The sequence below is a fragment of the Homo sapiens genome, chromosome 4, assembly GCF_000001405.40.
Source record: "Homo sapiens chromosome 4, GRCh38.p14 Primary Assembly".
Taxonomy (NCBI): Eukaryota; Metazoa; Chordata; class Mammalia; order Primates; family Hominidae; genus Homo; species Homo sapiens.
The window spans coordinates 108,805,459-108,821,048 of NC_000004.12; the positions used below are offsets into that span (position 1 = coordinate 108,805,459).

Genomic DNA, 15,590 nt, shown 5'->3' on the forward strand with positions numbered 1-15,590 from the left:
TGCTTGGCTTACATTGAGAAACATTATCAAAATCTGCTGATGTAGTTATAGAAGTGTTCTTTATAAGAAATCTCACATAAAAAATATTTTCAGGCCAGGTGTGGTGGCTCAGGCCTGTAATCCCAGAACTTTGGGAGGCCAAGGCGGGCGGATCTTGAGGTCAGAAGATGGAGACCATCTTGGCCAACATGGTGAAACCCCGTCTCTGCTAAAAATTAGCTGGGCATGGTGGCACGTGCCTGTAATCCCAGCTACTTGGGAGGCTGAGGCAGGAGAATCACTTGAACCAGGGAGTCGGAGGTTGCAGTGAGTCGAGATCGCACTACTCAACTCCAGTCTGGGCAACAGAGCAAGACTTCGTCTCAAAAAAAAAAAAAAAAAATTTCAGGCCAGGTGTGGTGGCTGGGGCCTGTAATCCCAGCACTTTGGGAGGCTGAAGTGGGCAGATCACCTGATGTCAGGAGTTTGAGACCAGCCTGACCAACATGGTGAAACCCTGTCTCTACTAAAAATACAAAAAATCAGTCAGGCATGGAGACACACACCTGTAATGCCAGCTATTCGGGAGGCAGAGGAAGGAGAATTGCTTGAACCCACAAGGTAGAGGTTGCAGTGAGCCGAGATCGCGCCACTGCACTCCAGCCTGGGTGATAGAGTGAGACTCCATCTAAAAATATATATATTTATATTTAATATATATTTATATAAACTAAATTAAATATTTAAAGTATATATATTTATATAACATAAATATACAAATTTATAAATAAATATATACTTTAAATAAATAAATATATATATATTTTCAATTAGCTTTGGTTATTTTGAGGAAACTGTGCCTTGTCACTTTATGGATAAGTGTGTTACTGATTTTTCTTTTTGCTATGAACAACAAGGAACTCAGAGCCATGCTGGTTGTTTGATTTAATGATACTATGTACTTTTATATTCTCTATCTTTTCATTATAACTTTCTTTGTGGTCTTGAACTATGTTTACATATGTTTTTCCAGGTTCTTATTTTTAAACTAATTCATATATTTTAGAAGTTTTCTTTTTTCTTTTTTTTTTTTTTTTTGTGAAACAGGGTCTCCCTCCATCACCCAGGCTGGAGTGCAGTGGCACCATCTTGACTCACTACAGCCTTGACCTCCCAGGCTCGTGATCGTCCTGCCTCAGCCTCCCAAGTAGCTGTGACTACAGGTGTGTACAAGAATGACTGAATAATTTCTTCTTGCATTTTTTTAGAGACAGGGTTTTGCCATGTTGCTTGGGCTGGTCTCAAATTTCTGGGCTCAAGCAATCTGCCTGCCTCAGCCTCCCAAAGTGCTGGCATTACAGGAGTGAGCCACCGTGCCTGGCAATAGTGTTCTTTATAAATGTTCTTTTAATTTTTCTTAAATATTATGGGAAGTGAAATAAAAGGATGAATTTATAAATAAAGCCATATTTACTTTCTTTGAATCACCATCCTCAGAGTGATAGAGGGTATGAGATAGTTAATAGTTGCAGAGAGGCCAGTTAGAAGGCTTCTCCAAAAGTTTGAAAAATGAGGAAAGTCTAAACTGAGACCATGGGATGAGGATGGAGAGAAGGGGTAGATCTGATGGAGATTTAGGAGGCAGAATTGAAGGAACTTGGTGAATTAGATGCTGTGTGTATGAGGGGATGGGTGGGTGATGGAGGTGGGTAGTGTCCATAATGATTCTGAGGCCTCCATCTTGTTTGCCTGGATGGCAGGTGGGGAAGGTGGCACCATTTATTATGATATGGAAGTCTGTAAGAGAACCAGGGGTGAAGTGGAAGATGATAAGCACCTGTGAGACATCCAGGTGGACATGCCTTTATCAGTTGGTCTGAAAGTCGGAAGGAAGTCTGATGAAGACAGAAACGTGGTCTTTGTGAGAAAGAATGAGCTCTTTTGGAGAGAGGGAATGCGTGGCTGAGAAGAGCAAAAGCAGAAGAGAGAATGAAAGTGAGAGCCCTGAGAATCATCATTTAACGATCAGGTAGAGAAGGAAGAGCTGGCAGAGGAAAATAAGGAAGAATAGTAGGATTAAATGACAAGAATATAAAGACTTGAGAACTAAAAATAGTGCTGAAGAGGGTGGCAGTGGTCAACTGCATCTAATGCTGCTGGCAAGATCAACAAAGATGAGCGCTAGGTCTAGCCACTCCACAGTGTGTATATACTTCAAAACATCGTATTTTGCACAACAAATACACACAATTTTATCTTTCAATTACAAAAGCAAAAATATAAGAAAGGTGAGCATTGGGAAGTACTCTTTTATTTGGGACTTGTAAATAATTGGTGTCTTTGTGGAGGCATTTATTCATTCATCATTCATTAAATACATATATATATATATGTAATTTTATTTTATTTATTTATTTATTTTTTTTTTTTTTTAGACTGAGTCTCGTTCTGTCCCCTAGGTGCAATCTGGGCTCACTGCAACCTCCGCCTCCCAGGTTCAAGTGATTCTCCTGCCTCAGCCTCCTGAATAGCTGGGATTACAGGTGCCTGCCACCACACCCAGCTAATTTTTTGTATTTTCAGTAGAGATGGGGTTTCACCATGTTGTCCAGGATGGTTTTGATCTCCTAACCTCGTGATCCACCCGCCTCAGCCTCCCAAAGTGCTGGGATTACAGACGTGAGCCACTGCACCCAGCCCATTAAATATTTATTAAGTGATTATTATACGCTACATTCTAATCATATACTGATGACTAATTTGATGGGAGGATGGTAAGAGGCAACTAAACGTAAGGTAACTTAATTCATCAAGATGGGAAATAGTGGAGGAAAATTAGGAGGGGAGGCCGGGCGCAGTGGCTCACGCCTGTAATCCCAGCACTTTGGGAGGCTGAGGCAGGTGGATCACGAGGTCAGGAGTTTGAGACCAGCCTGACCAACATGATGAAACCTTGTCTCTACTAAAAATACAAACATTAGCCTGTGTGGTGGCGGGCACGTGTAGTCCCAGCTACTCAGGAGGCTGAGGCAAGAGAAACGCTTGAACCCAGGAGGTGGAGCTTGAAGTGAGCCGAGATCGGTCCACTGCACTCCAGCCTGGGCAACACAGCGAGACTCCGTCTCAAAAAAAAAAAAAACAACAACAACAAACCAGAAAGTTCTAGTTTTAGAAAATCCCTATAGCTAGGTATGTTTACCAGGTTAAATGGTGGGGTTACAATATTGTAGAAGAGTAGAATAAAATTCTTTATGAATAATGTTTAAATCAAAGAAAAGAGGCCAAGGTTTTCATGAACATCAATAAAGCTTTATAACAATACAATTCATTATCATTGTTTGGATTAATATTGTAATAATTACACACTTTTTACATTATGAAAATAAGTCATAAATAGTGTAAAAATAATTCTGAAGATCAACTTCTCACAAACTAGGAACCCTGAAAACAAATTTAAAAAGCAAATAAAAACAAACTGGAAACTGAACACAATGCAATTATCTCCAAACCGCAAATCAAAAATCTTATGCATCTTTTGATACAGTAATGTCAGCTGGAGAAATTACAAGGAAATTAAAATAAAAATTGAACAGGGAGAATTCAATCTTTCAATTATTTACACTACTGAGATAAACAGGTTTGTGCCATATTTACAGTGATAAGACACAACACATTCTTAGAATAATCAATTGTATGAGACTGGCCCACAAACATTTAAAAAAATATGCAGTGTAATGCTTGCCAAAATATTTTTTTTTGCATATTTCACTTATTTTGTATTTATGTGAGTTTTTGGCAATATAAAAATAGCTGCACATAGAGATGAACTTTAAAATGTAAAAAATACAAATAAAAATATAATATTTTCTAAAGAAAAATCAGATACATACATCTTTTAAAATGTTATTAAGTTGAATGAAACATTTACAACAGTATAAAGAATATTCACATAAATGTCAACAGTATGTAAGACATTCTTTTGTGAATCCAATTCGTTAATATTTCTGAGATAGGTAAGAATATCAACTACATTTTGAGAGATGTTGGTACTTTCTTTGTTAAGTTGTTAATAAATCACACATAACGGTTTAGGTTGAAAAAGTCTTCTTATGCCCAAAAGGACGGTTCTTTCAATAAGCAGCATAGGCAATTTTATACATTTAAATATTTTGAAATGAAAAAAGTCATTAAAGTGTTTATTAGTACGGGGTTAGCAAAAACCAAACTCCACTAAAAATTTAAGTTAGAGGAGTGTCTCTGCTGTGTCAATTTTATATTGGCAACAAATCTAGCCAATATAAAGATATCCCAAGAAAAATGGGAAGAAGTAGGGACTGACAGTCCTCCTAGCCTAAAACAATTTAGCATAATCATAATTGGTCAAGCTTGTTAATTCCACTAGGGATGTATGATTTTAATAGCCAGAATCACATGTGATTGTTCTTACTTATTATTTTTAGAAAGATAAGATAGGGTTCCTAAGGACTTAACTTCCAAGAGATAGCAGGAGCTCTTGTTTTTACAAATTAGAAAATCCTATTTTTTTGTAGTGTGAAATATTAATATAATTTGATTATTAGGAAGTAAGAAAAAACAAGATTTCAAATATTAGCATCTGTATGTTGCTTATGATCACTTATTAGAAGATGTTAAAACACCACCAAAGTATAGCCCTACTCTGGGTAAGACAATATATAGTGGGGAAAGAAAGGATAACAAATGATGTTAACTTTTCATGCTTCAATAGTAACATTAAAAAAAAAAACCCTTGGAAATTAAGCACATTTCCTAAGTGAGAAAAATATAACATATCAAAGACAATTTTTCCATTGGTACTGACATGCTGATTTGACAATTTTCTAAACTAGCACATATGTCTATATAGATAGATAGTTAGACAAAGGACATGTAGTATAAACTAGTTGATGTGTAAGTTCTTGCTGTCCCATCAGAACATCGTATGCACAGAATGTAAATTCAAAAACAAGACCTTTCTTCTGGTAGGAATTAAAGATATTCTAATGTCCTCTATAAAATCACATGAGAAAAAAAAATCCTCCAAGACTGCTTTTGCTAATGAAAAACAAAAACTGAAAGAAAAAATTAGGTATATTTGTGCACTAGGTACTCTATACGGTGTGTGCAGACTTCTCTGATGCTAGTTTTGTCATGTTTCATCAAATCATATAAACTAAAAGACGAGTGAATGAAAAAGATGAGACACATGAAAGTAGATAAAGGCATATGATGTATGAAATGAATATGAAATAGGAGGATCCATGATCCGAGTAAACACACATCATCTATTGGTACACTGTTTTGTTTTACATTAAGAAAGCCTGGTCATTGGACCATAATTATAGCAAATTCATGAACTTTAAAAATAAAATAACACACTAATGATTTAGGAATGCTATTAAACAGGGAAATAAAATTATCCATAGTAGTTGTATTGTCCATAGAGAAAAAGGAAAAGAGATACATTAGCACCAACCAACATAAATGAAAAACAATTTTAAATCTAAAACACATATCAATTTGCTATCCTTCAATGTTTTATTAGAAATAGAAACTGACCTTGCCTTATTTCCAATGTGTCTTTCATGTATATTTTCTCAACCCTCTATCCAATAACACACATTAAAGAAATCTTTAAGGAAAGTATATTATCTATCAACACATATCAACAAACACAATTCTTTCATTCACTTAGAAATTATTTAAGAATTCTCTATATGACAAAATGGATGCTTGAAAACATTGTAGTAACCAAAAGTTAAAGATTATCCATCATGGTTAAGACCTAGCAATTCCACTGAACAAGGAGGAGTATTTCCATCCCTTTGTTTTTCCCAAGGAAATAAATGTAATGAAAGTTTACAACCTCATTTAATCATGAAATAAGTTGATGTTGTCAAATCAGTTATAGAGCAAAAACTCAATATACACACAGGACAGAATAGTATTCTTTGAAGGGCTGTATTTCAAAAAATTTTTTTATACATAAAGTGTTTTTCTTTTGATGTTGAGGTATCGTCTCCTGAAGCTGTGCAAGTTTTAAATAGTGATCCATTTCAATCCACCTCTTTCTACTAGAGGAGCAGAAAAAAAGATAGAAGGGAAAAAAATATAGCCACTGGACACTGTAGTTTGTTTTCCTGAAGAGAATGTAGTTCCACCCACTTCAGTTCATTTTTCCAAACCATTTAAGACAAATTGTGTCAGACATTGAGCAATACGTTATCCTAACACCATGCCATACAAGAAATTGTTAGAAAATGTCCTCCATTATTTTCAAAATGCTAAACTGGCTTAGGGGTGTGGAATGTTACCAGAAATGTTACCAATTAGACTGATCTAATAGTTTAAACATCTTTCAACCTTAAAAATTTAATAGAAAAAAAAGAAGATGCCATTTTGTATGACTGTCATTTGGTTACATAACATAAATGAGATCATGAGGATTTTAGGTTCCTTGTCTTATGGTTATATCTTAACTATAAGCCAAGGATGAGTTAATTTCCCTTCTGGTGGTGACACCTATGCATGAAACTAGAAATCTTCCCAGAAGATGGCATTGAGTCAGGAGAGAAATTAAATTCTCTAATGGGCTGAAAGGGTGCCTACTCCTCATTGATAATGTTTCTTTCAATGTAACACTTCCACTTAGAATAAGCCATTTCAAAACACGCTACCAACTCTTTACTGTGCAAAGAAATGTTCCATCTAATATGGTTAGGTAAAGTTTGAGCAAGTAGATGAAAAATATTTTCTTTATGGCAACTATATTTCACAGCTTTCTGAGATCTTAGATTTGGTCTGTGGATATGAGGATGAGACAAACATTTAGAAATGTTAAAAAGAGAAAGAAATCTAAATATAGACAAAACTTAAAACCATAAAAATAGAAATTAGTTAATATTACCAAATGTGACAAAATCTTGGCTTTATATTAACTGATAATCTCCATGTACGTTACATTCATCATGTAAAAAAAGTCAAAACTACTTAAAAATGCATAACTTTCATGCTTTACAATGATTAGACTGAAAGTGGAGCTTCTTTTATATTCTATCCAATTATCCAAAACAAGAGAGAAGTTAGTAAAAGGTCATTTTGACTACTGGAGCCAAATTATTATGATTTGAAGACTTCTTAAAAAAATTGTTCAAAACATATGTGACAAAAACTGAAACTAATATTTTTTCAATATTCTTGGGACTAAAGAAAGAAAAAGAAAAAAGCATTAAAAAGAATGAAAAATACCTGTTTCTCAAACTTTGTAGGAAATGTTTGACATGGTTGGATCGTAGGAGGAAGGAAAGCTCTCACAACAACTTTGGCACAGATTGTCCCAGTAAGCTCTCCTATATCATCGGGAGAGGCGATTTTGGCTGATCCCTTCTCAGAACATGTTATTTCTTCAGCAACCCAAGTTTTGGTGGGATGGACATCCCTTTTCCCTCAGGGACAGGATCTCCCATTCCAAGAATCTCCTATTCCAAAAGAAGTGCTGTGCCTCTGTCATTTTTAAAAGCACCTATATTAACACTTGCTGAAATTCAGTTTATTTATACATATTTTTAAAGTCTGTGGTTCTGCATGTTTGCATTTGTAAACCTCTTTCCTACTTGGTCACATGAGAGGCAGTGCTGGAGGCTGAATCGGTCCTCTTCCCATGTCTTCACTGCCAAGGGCAGCCCAAGGAAAACTGGTGGCAGCAACAGGCTCAACCCCTTCGTATTTCAACCAAAGTGGCCACATGAGCCCACAATACTGGAAGCTGTAGATCTGCAGTCAGGACTGCAACTCCCTCAAAATACAAGACAAATTGTGTGTGTGCTCTCCGCCACCTTATCTCTTTTTGGCAATAAGCCATGGTGTAACCCCCTTGAGATGACAAAAGGAATAAAGGTTCAGATGTAATCAAAGGACTCCTGATCAACATGCTAGCATCTGAAGTTGCACAGCAAGCAGGTTTGGCACACAGTCATGCTTTTTTAGTTAGTTTCAATGGGTGGTGTAGGTATGAGTCAACGCCGACATGAAAGGTGAATGGGAATGTGATAATCAGCTCTAAAATCAGTCAGTATAGTACATTTTCATAGCTTTGAGTCCATATTTGGTCACCATTTCATGTAAACTATTTCATGGCACTTTTTGTCCATGCAATTAGCAAGCCAAAAGAAGGAAAATAGCTAGTACAATCAATCATTCTCTACCACTGATTTGTCCATATAAATACGTATCTTCACATAAGATAAGGAGATACTGATCTATATTTTTTGCAGGATTCTCACTGGTTTCACAAATTGCCCAATTTCAGATGTAAGTGGAGTAAAAATGGACATGTATACTACTGCCAGCAGGAAGAAGCAGCCCTATGTAAACATATCTCAGACTTGTAAAATCTGCAATTCAGTTTTCAACTATAAATATTAAAAATGGACCCTTATATACACAACTTCATGCTTGAAAGGTTAGATTCATCACTGCAGAAAAAGACAACAAAAAGACAAATACATGGAATTAGTAGTCTTGAATTAAAATTTTAAATCAATATTTATTTTCAGAAAACTGGTAGAACCTTGAATAGAGTCTATAAGCCAACTGACTGGCTATCAATGAGCCAATTGATTATCTGATATGTGTGCTATATATTACTTTCTAAACTCCAAGATGTCATGGCAATTTCCATCTGAGGTTCATTCCACATTTTTCCTTTGCCACTGAGAATTATCTTTCCTTTGCCACTGAGAATTTTAGGGTAAGTCTTTTGCTCAGTGACTGTTCTGGGAAAGCAGAAAATTAGGATGTTTATCACATATGTACCATAATTAAATTTAATTTTGTATTTGTAACCTACATAATCTTCTGCACGCATTACAATACAACTGTGGAAAGGGCTGAGGATTGACCTCGATAATGTTGTTTACGTCACCAACACCTGACTCTAATCCTCTATCTTCAGTTCTTGGCTCCTCCTTCCTTTTGCAAGCCTTGCCCTCTGTGAATGTTGTGCAAGGTAGACCTGCCTGCTGTCAGGCCTTCAATCTGTATTACAGGTTCCATTGTGACCTAAGGCACCGCAGATTTCTGGTTTCTCACCAGATTTCTGGTTTCTCACCACAGATTTCTGCTTTCTCATCTCTCTCTCATAGCAGTCATAATAACTAAGGTTTTCTTAGAACTGCATTAAGTCAGAGGTCTGAGGAACAGAGGTCTTTGAGATATACACTTACAAAGCAGATCTTAGAGACGTCCTTGACATTGGGTGTATCACCCTTTTGAACGCTGCTGTGTTTATTAGGTTGTAGGGCACAGTGGCAAATGTTTGCTTGACTTAAAATTCAAATTGTGGCAGTCGTATAAATCACTGATTATCAGTAAGCAGAATGTATAGGGAAGGAGAATAACGGAGGTCTCTTCATTCACCCTCCACAATGCATGGAGTCATCTTTAAGTTTATTTATTAACATTTGTTTTTCTCTATTCAAGGAATATAGATGCTCTACTAGGTGTGCTTTGGAGGCTGCTTTCTAATCTTCAGAGAAGGAGTTCACTCAATATTCTTGCCTGTCATGCCAATGCCAAAAAATGTGTCTATAGGAAGCACTCCTTTTTCCAAACCCTCACTTATCTCTCTTAACTCTTCTTGTGTTGGTAAATTTAGAAAATGGAACTATATCTAGAAAGAAAACTAATTTAAAAAAAGATCAAATAGTTTTGCATATATAAATCATTGAGAGGAGCATGACCAAGAGGAGTTGGTAATTAATCAGTGATTTATACGACTGCCACAATTTGAATTTTAAGTCAAGCAAACATTTGCCACTGTGCCCTACAGCCTAATAAACACAGCAGTGTTCAAAAGGGTGATACACCCAAAAATAGGACTCACTAAAAGCAATCCGCTGACTTTATTTTAAAAATATAATTTAAAAAATAGTTTTATTTGACTATTCAATGTAACAGCTAAGTTGACCACATAAGAAATTTGAGAACGTTTTCATTTTCTAAATTGTTTCTTTCCTTTCTGGGGATGGGTGGGAGAGGTTGATCAGAATGATTTGCATTTGTGTGTGTTGGGTGGGTGTGGTAAACAATACTAAACTTTCATAATTCTTATTCTTTATATAAGAAGATGCTGGATTCATAAGATCTTTAATCTTATGTAGTGTATAGTGTCTATTCTGTGGAAAAAGGAGTATTTAAAAGGAAAATTTCTGATTTTCTAATCGTATTCATATTACTACCAGTAATATGAATTTCATGAACCATTTCATGAACCAAAAAGATGATGCCCATTTCATGAACCAAAAAGATGATGAGTTCTTTGTTGCCATTTAAGGGTATAAACCCCTTTTAAAAAGGCAGCGATTCAGATTATAAACCCCTTTAAAAAGGCAGCAATTCAGAGGTGGCTAAGAACGATTGCGAACCCAAGTTCTGAGTGGTGTCAGAAGGCTGGCTAAAGCAAGCCTATTGCATCTCCTCTATGTGAAGTGTGCTAATGGCTGGTTTAAAAAATCATTATACTATTAGATTACAGGGCAAAGGTTAGAGATTAAGTGGTAATTCCAGCTCAAGATGGTATTAAAAATTCTGTGAACGGGGGTTATGATAGTGGAGGGATAGTTTTCTCAGGTGAAGAAGAATTTGATGATAGGTCCATTTTCATGAGACCCATTTGACCCTGTGTGTGATCAAGCTAATTATCTGACAGGCTGAAAGCGGAGTATGGGAAGCTACTAAATAAATGACGCTACTTAGAGAGGTTTTACTTTCTCTGGTCAAGTAGGTGAAACTGATTAAGAAAGAGAGTGAGTTATTCAGGATTTTCTCACCAATGGAGTTGCTAAGGTAAGAGGCAACTAGGAGTCAGGTTTCCCATCTTTCTGCATTGCTACATAGTTTTGCTATAATTTTGCTAATGAAGCATGCCTGTCCAAAATTACTGAAGAAGCCACAAGGTGCTGGAGAAAAAATTTCAAAATGATTGAAGCATCTTGTGCATTTCCTCAGCTCATTTTTACATGCTTGGAATGCTTTTATCCTTCAGTAGCATGTGCACAGCCTTTATAATTAGATCTTCACCATTATTGCATAAAGGTTTGATATTCTCTGAATAGCACAGCACATATGGATGATCTCTTCCCTGCTTACAGTTTTACTGTTGCTTTCCATTGTCTCTCTCTCTCCCTCTCCTAGTTGTGATACATACTAGTTCTGTGCTCTTGGAAGGTCCTTGACCTCTCGAATTTGTTTCCTCATCTGCATCACTGAGGGTAATAAGACTTTATGGAGTCATTGTGTGGATTAAATGAAATGATATTCTCTATATGAAAAGGCTTGTCATACAGCCTTTGCACATAGAAGGTTCTCTATAAAGAATAAACTTCTTTCATCACTGAATACACACACAGTGACTATGGGCAGTCATATGAAGAGGCTAGAATAAACTGATGTCATAAAGGACACCACTTAAATTTAATTCAGTTTTTCCTACATAAGTCAAGACATCATTAAACAAATGATGCTTATATTTTTCTGCTTTCTCAGCTCTGTGACTAATATTGACAGGGTTCTACCATGTATTATCATGTTTGTCAGTGTAAGTAAGGATAAATAGAAAAAGAATCACAATTAAGAATAGTTTTAAACATTAGGAAGACAAAGATTTTGAGAGACAAGCAAAACATTATCAGGATGCACTGCCCCTTTCCATTCCAAAGAAAAGATTAGATAGGGAAGGTTCCAAATTGCAGTGTTTGCTAAGAATTGCATTAGCTGATCAGTTTAGGAAGAAATCAGCAGTAAATATACTGATCAAAAGATATTCTGGAGATGAAATCTTTTGCTTTTTAATATCCGAAGGTCTTTTCTGAATGGAAAAGGCTAGTCCAGGTTAAGAGAAAGGGAGAGTGCTTCTTTTGAGAAATTATTCAGTAAAGCCTACCTTTTGCCAACAGCCAGGCATGGGTAAGCCATCTGGCCCCTGTTTTAAAGAGAAGAAAAAGAATTCCTCAGGTTCCATAAGAGTGATTAAACTTCATAATTCACATGCTCAGAGGCTTAAAAATAAATTTCTACCCATTAGTGACTTTGGTCATGGGCATCTTTTACTAATTAGCAACTCCCGATATATTTCCCAGTGTTAGGTAAAATAAAGAAAATTCAAATGTTTTCCAGAGTGAGTACACATTTTGAAAACACATGAAGTATAGAAAATGTTATGCCTAATTTTGAAAAAGCAATTTACAAAGCATAGTGCTCTATTCATATCTATATTTTTAGATAATAAATCTATACTCTTAATTCCATTAAAACACATCTCACTGGTATCTCTATTACGTAAACCAAAATAACTTCTCTTCCCGGTCACTATTAGACTATGGCTGAATTCATGATAATGATGAATAATCAATGATAAACCATTTCTATCTGAAGTTTATAGCTCTTCACATGCCAGTATTTTTCACTTTTCTATATTGAAAGTAAATACAGTAGAACATACTCAATTGAATTAGAGGACAGGCAGCCTATCTATATTTTTATGATAAAATATTATCTACAGCATTTATCGATTTCTCTATTTAAATTATTCAAAAGTTAACAAATTCTGAATAAAATAAGAGGTTCCTAAGTGTTGCAAAATTTATTTTAAAGTGTATGCATTCTTCAGATACAAATGACACAAATAACGCAGGAAGAGTTGGTACATCAAGAAGGCATGCTTCTACTTTTCCACCAACAAAATGATCATAAAATATGATTTATCATCAATACCAAGCAAACAAAGAACTGGGAACTTCATATTGAGATTTTCTAACTATAATCACTGACTGCTTAATTTTTAAAAATATAAATACAATCTCTTAAAGAGAAATATAAATTTATCTTTAAAGAATCATGCTTATACCTGAAGAATAATATAAGAACATGCAGACCAATATAACCATCAACGCAAACATAAAAATTTTTATTTATACCTCAGAAAATATGAATATACTTTCATTTTAAATGTAAAAAAAGAACACTTTTAAAAAGCTTCATAAATATTTGGGAAAAACTGGTAATGCCAGATTGGTACAAGGAGAAGGTTCAACCAGCAGAATTTTAGATTTTAGTATCAGGAGGATTTTGAGTTCATGCCAATGGAGATAAGGGAGTTTGGTCTACTTTAGGAAAGTGAGTTTCAAAAGGAGAGACCATTAAACTGAAAAGGTTATGTGGCAAAGAAGAAGGTTGGGGCTGCAGACTTTTATCATCTTTAGAAGCTCAGAGAAGTTTGGTCTTCTTCTTTGTGGTCTCTTAAAGCATTCTCTTGAATTGGTTAACACTTGACGACAGAAGCTGAATTCCGTAGGTTGGGCCTTATTTATAGCCTGATTGAAATATAGCGAAAAAGGCAGAAATACCTTTTTTTTTTTTTAGAGAAAAAGAAAAAAAGTCAAACTTAGGTGGAAAACCAAAAGTTATGGTCTAGCAGTGTCTTTGCATCAAATATTTTCACATAATTTTAATGTAATCTTTAAATATTTATTGAAAAAATTAATATCCCAAAGAACACAGAAAAGGTGGTCATGTCAGTTGTGAGAACAACATCAGGAGATTAATTTGCATTCATTGATAGAAACGCGTGCTTGCTCTCTGACTCTGCACAGTGGCAGAAGGAGCCTGTTCATGCACATGCATGTAGTGTGTTTATCATGTAAAGCTTGCCCAGAAAGCACCACTTTACACTGATAGAGATGAACATGTGATAAACAAAGGAACTGCATGCAGGGTGGTAGGAAAGAGAAATACTGTACCAATTGGCAAGGGGCATCCAGCCCATCCAGGCCAGGCTGGCCTGGCTCCCCTTTTTCCCCCTTAACGCCACGGAATCCCTGTTTGTAAAGATTAACTCATAATGTTACTAACACAAGAAATCACTTAAGCACAAATTCTGCGAAAGAAGTAACTACAACAACAAAGGCTGGGAGAGGAGCAACTCTGAAGGGAAAAGTAACATCCAGTGAAGTTGGGCAAAGTAAAATGGAGGGAGACATATTCCTACAACAGGGGCTTGTCTGAAAACAGTGGCCTCCTCTTTTGAAGGGTATGGAATCGTGCCAGTTCCTTTCGGATCTTACATTCAGGTTCCAATTGTGCCGTGATATTTGGGGGTTAAGAAACCAGGCAGAGCTAGTGGCCCAAGACGAGATGTGGAACGTATCAGGATAACTGATAAATGTTTCTGGGTATCTTGAAGTCCATGTTAAATGAGCCCAATCAGAAACCCTCCTGTTACGGATCCCTCCGGCTTGCTCTTCTCCCATCTGATCCCCTCACACAAACATCTGGAGACAGTTCCACAAGTCAGACATACCAACGGGCAGGGTGCATCTAATCCAGGAGCACCCTGTTCTCCTTTCTCCCCTTTAGGCCCCTTTTTGCCTTTCTTTCCCTTTTCCCCCTGTGGATACAAGGGTTTAAATAAAAGACAAATTTTATTTGGGGGAAAATAACGGTAATTCAAAAGATGGTTTAGGTAAGAAAATTCTGGAAGGGCATTTACCACTGTTTTCTGATTTAGGTAAGGCATGATATTATAACAGCTAACATATTTTCAGAGTGACAATGGATTCTGGGCAGGGGCATGTGGGATTTTATTTAAGATACTCAACAAGACAGAAGAAGGAGGCTTAAAAGCTGATACATCAGAAGTGCTAACTTAGACCACAATGTCACGATCATGAATTAGGTGTCTGAGTCACAGATCCTGTGAGGATGACAGGTACCAAAACCATTGAAGCCAGCCAGTGGCAGATGAAGTTCAGGGAAATAATGGATACTTCACTCAATTTTCAATACCTGTCACCTTGCTTTTTTCTAATCCTGTAACAGATGAAAGCTGCATTGAACCAGAGGAAAAGGAAAGAATATGAACAGTGTCTATTTCTTTGAAATGTATCCAACTTTATGATTGATATTACTTGTGTAACTCTCATTCAAAAATATTCAATATCTTAAAATATGCTTCTATATCTTTTAATATTTTTTACATCCTTTTGTTACAGCAAAACTTTTTTTAAAAGAAACTAAAAGCAAATACTTTCCTTATTAAGTCAGGTAAACAAATGTTAAAAGTGCTAATACTTTGCAGCAATGCCAACTGGAGAAACAGACTTATTTATAAACCTAGGGATCTTCTTTAATTCACTCTCTTACTGATCTCATGCCATGTATTTACAATGGTAAATGAGTTTCCAGCTTACTCACAATGTAACAAAAGCCAAAAAAAAAAAAAATCTGTTCAGGAGAGGAAAAGCAGCTTGGACTCAGTAAAAATGAGGTAGGCAGGATAATTACATAGTGGGAATGTAGCTATGGAAATTAGTATTTAGGAATCAAGGTAAAGGTTGTGGGAAATCTGCATGGATCATAAGGCCAGAGGAATTAAGGAAAGGAGGCAAAAGGAGGAGTAGGAAGGAATGCACCTCAGCTGTTTTATATTAACATCAGTATCTCTGCATATTTATAGACAGGGAGTTAGTGCCGTGCAGAACTCAAAATACTATACAATACATACTTAAATAAATGTATTCATTCTGCAATCAGGATGG

General features: G+C 35.9%; 1 protein-coding gene across 9 annotated transcripts in view; it reads right to left on the reverse strand.

The window, feature by feature from the left end:
- COL25A1 (collagen type XXV alpha 1 chain) overlaps positions 3,267–15,590 on the reverse strand; it is a 493,934-nt gene continuing 481,610 nt past the window's right edge. For 7 of the 9 annotated variants that reach the window (XM_011532335.3, XM_011532334.3, XM_011532333.3 and 4 more), the window contains 3 exons: positions 14,354–14,440; positions 11,939–11,977; positions 3,267–8,471 (listed from right to left, as the gene is read on the reverse strand). In XM_011532335.3, the coding sequence (XP_011530637.1) occupies positions 8,469–8,471; positions 11,939–11,977; positions 14,354–14,440 (129 nt within the window). In that variant the 3' untranslated portion in view covers positions 3,267–8,468. Of the gene's footprint in view, positions 8,472–11,938; positions 11,978–13,793; positions 13,872–14,353; positions 14,441–15,590 lie in introns of all 9 variants that reach the window. The other 2 variants (NR_045756.3, NM_198721.4) reach the window with 2 other exon arrangements.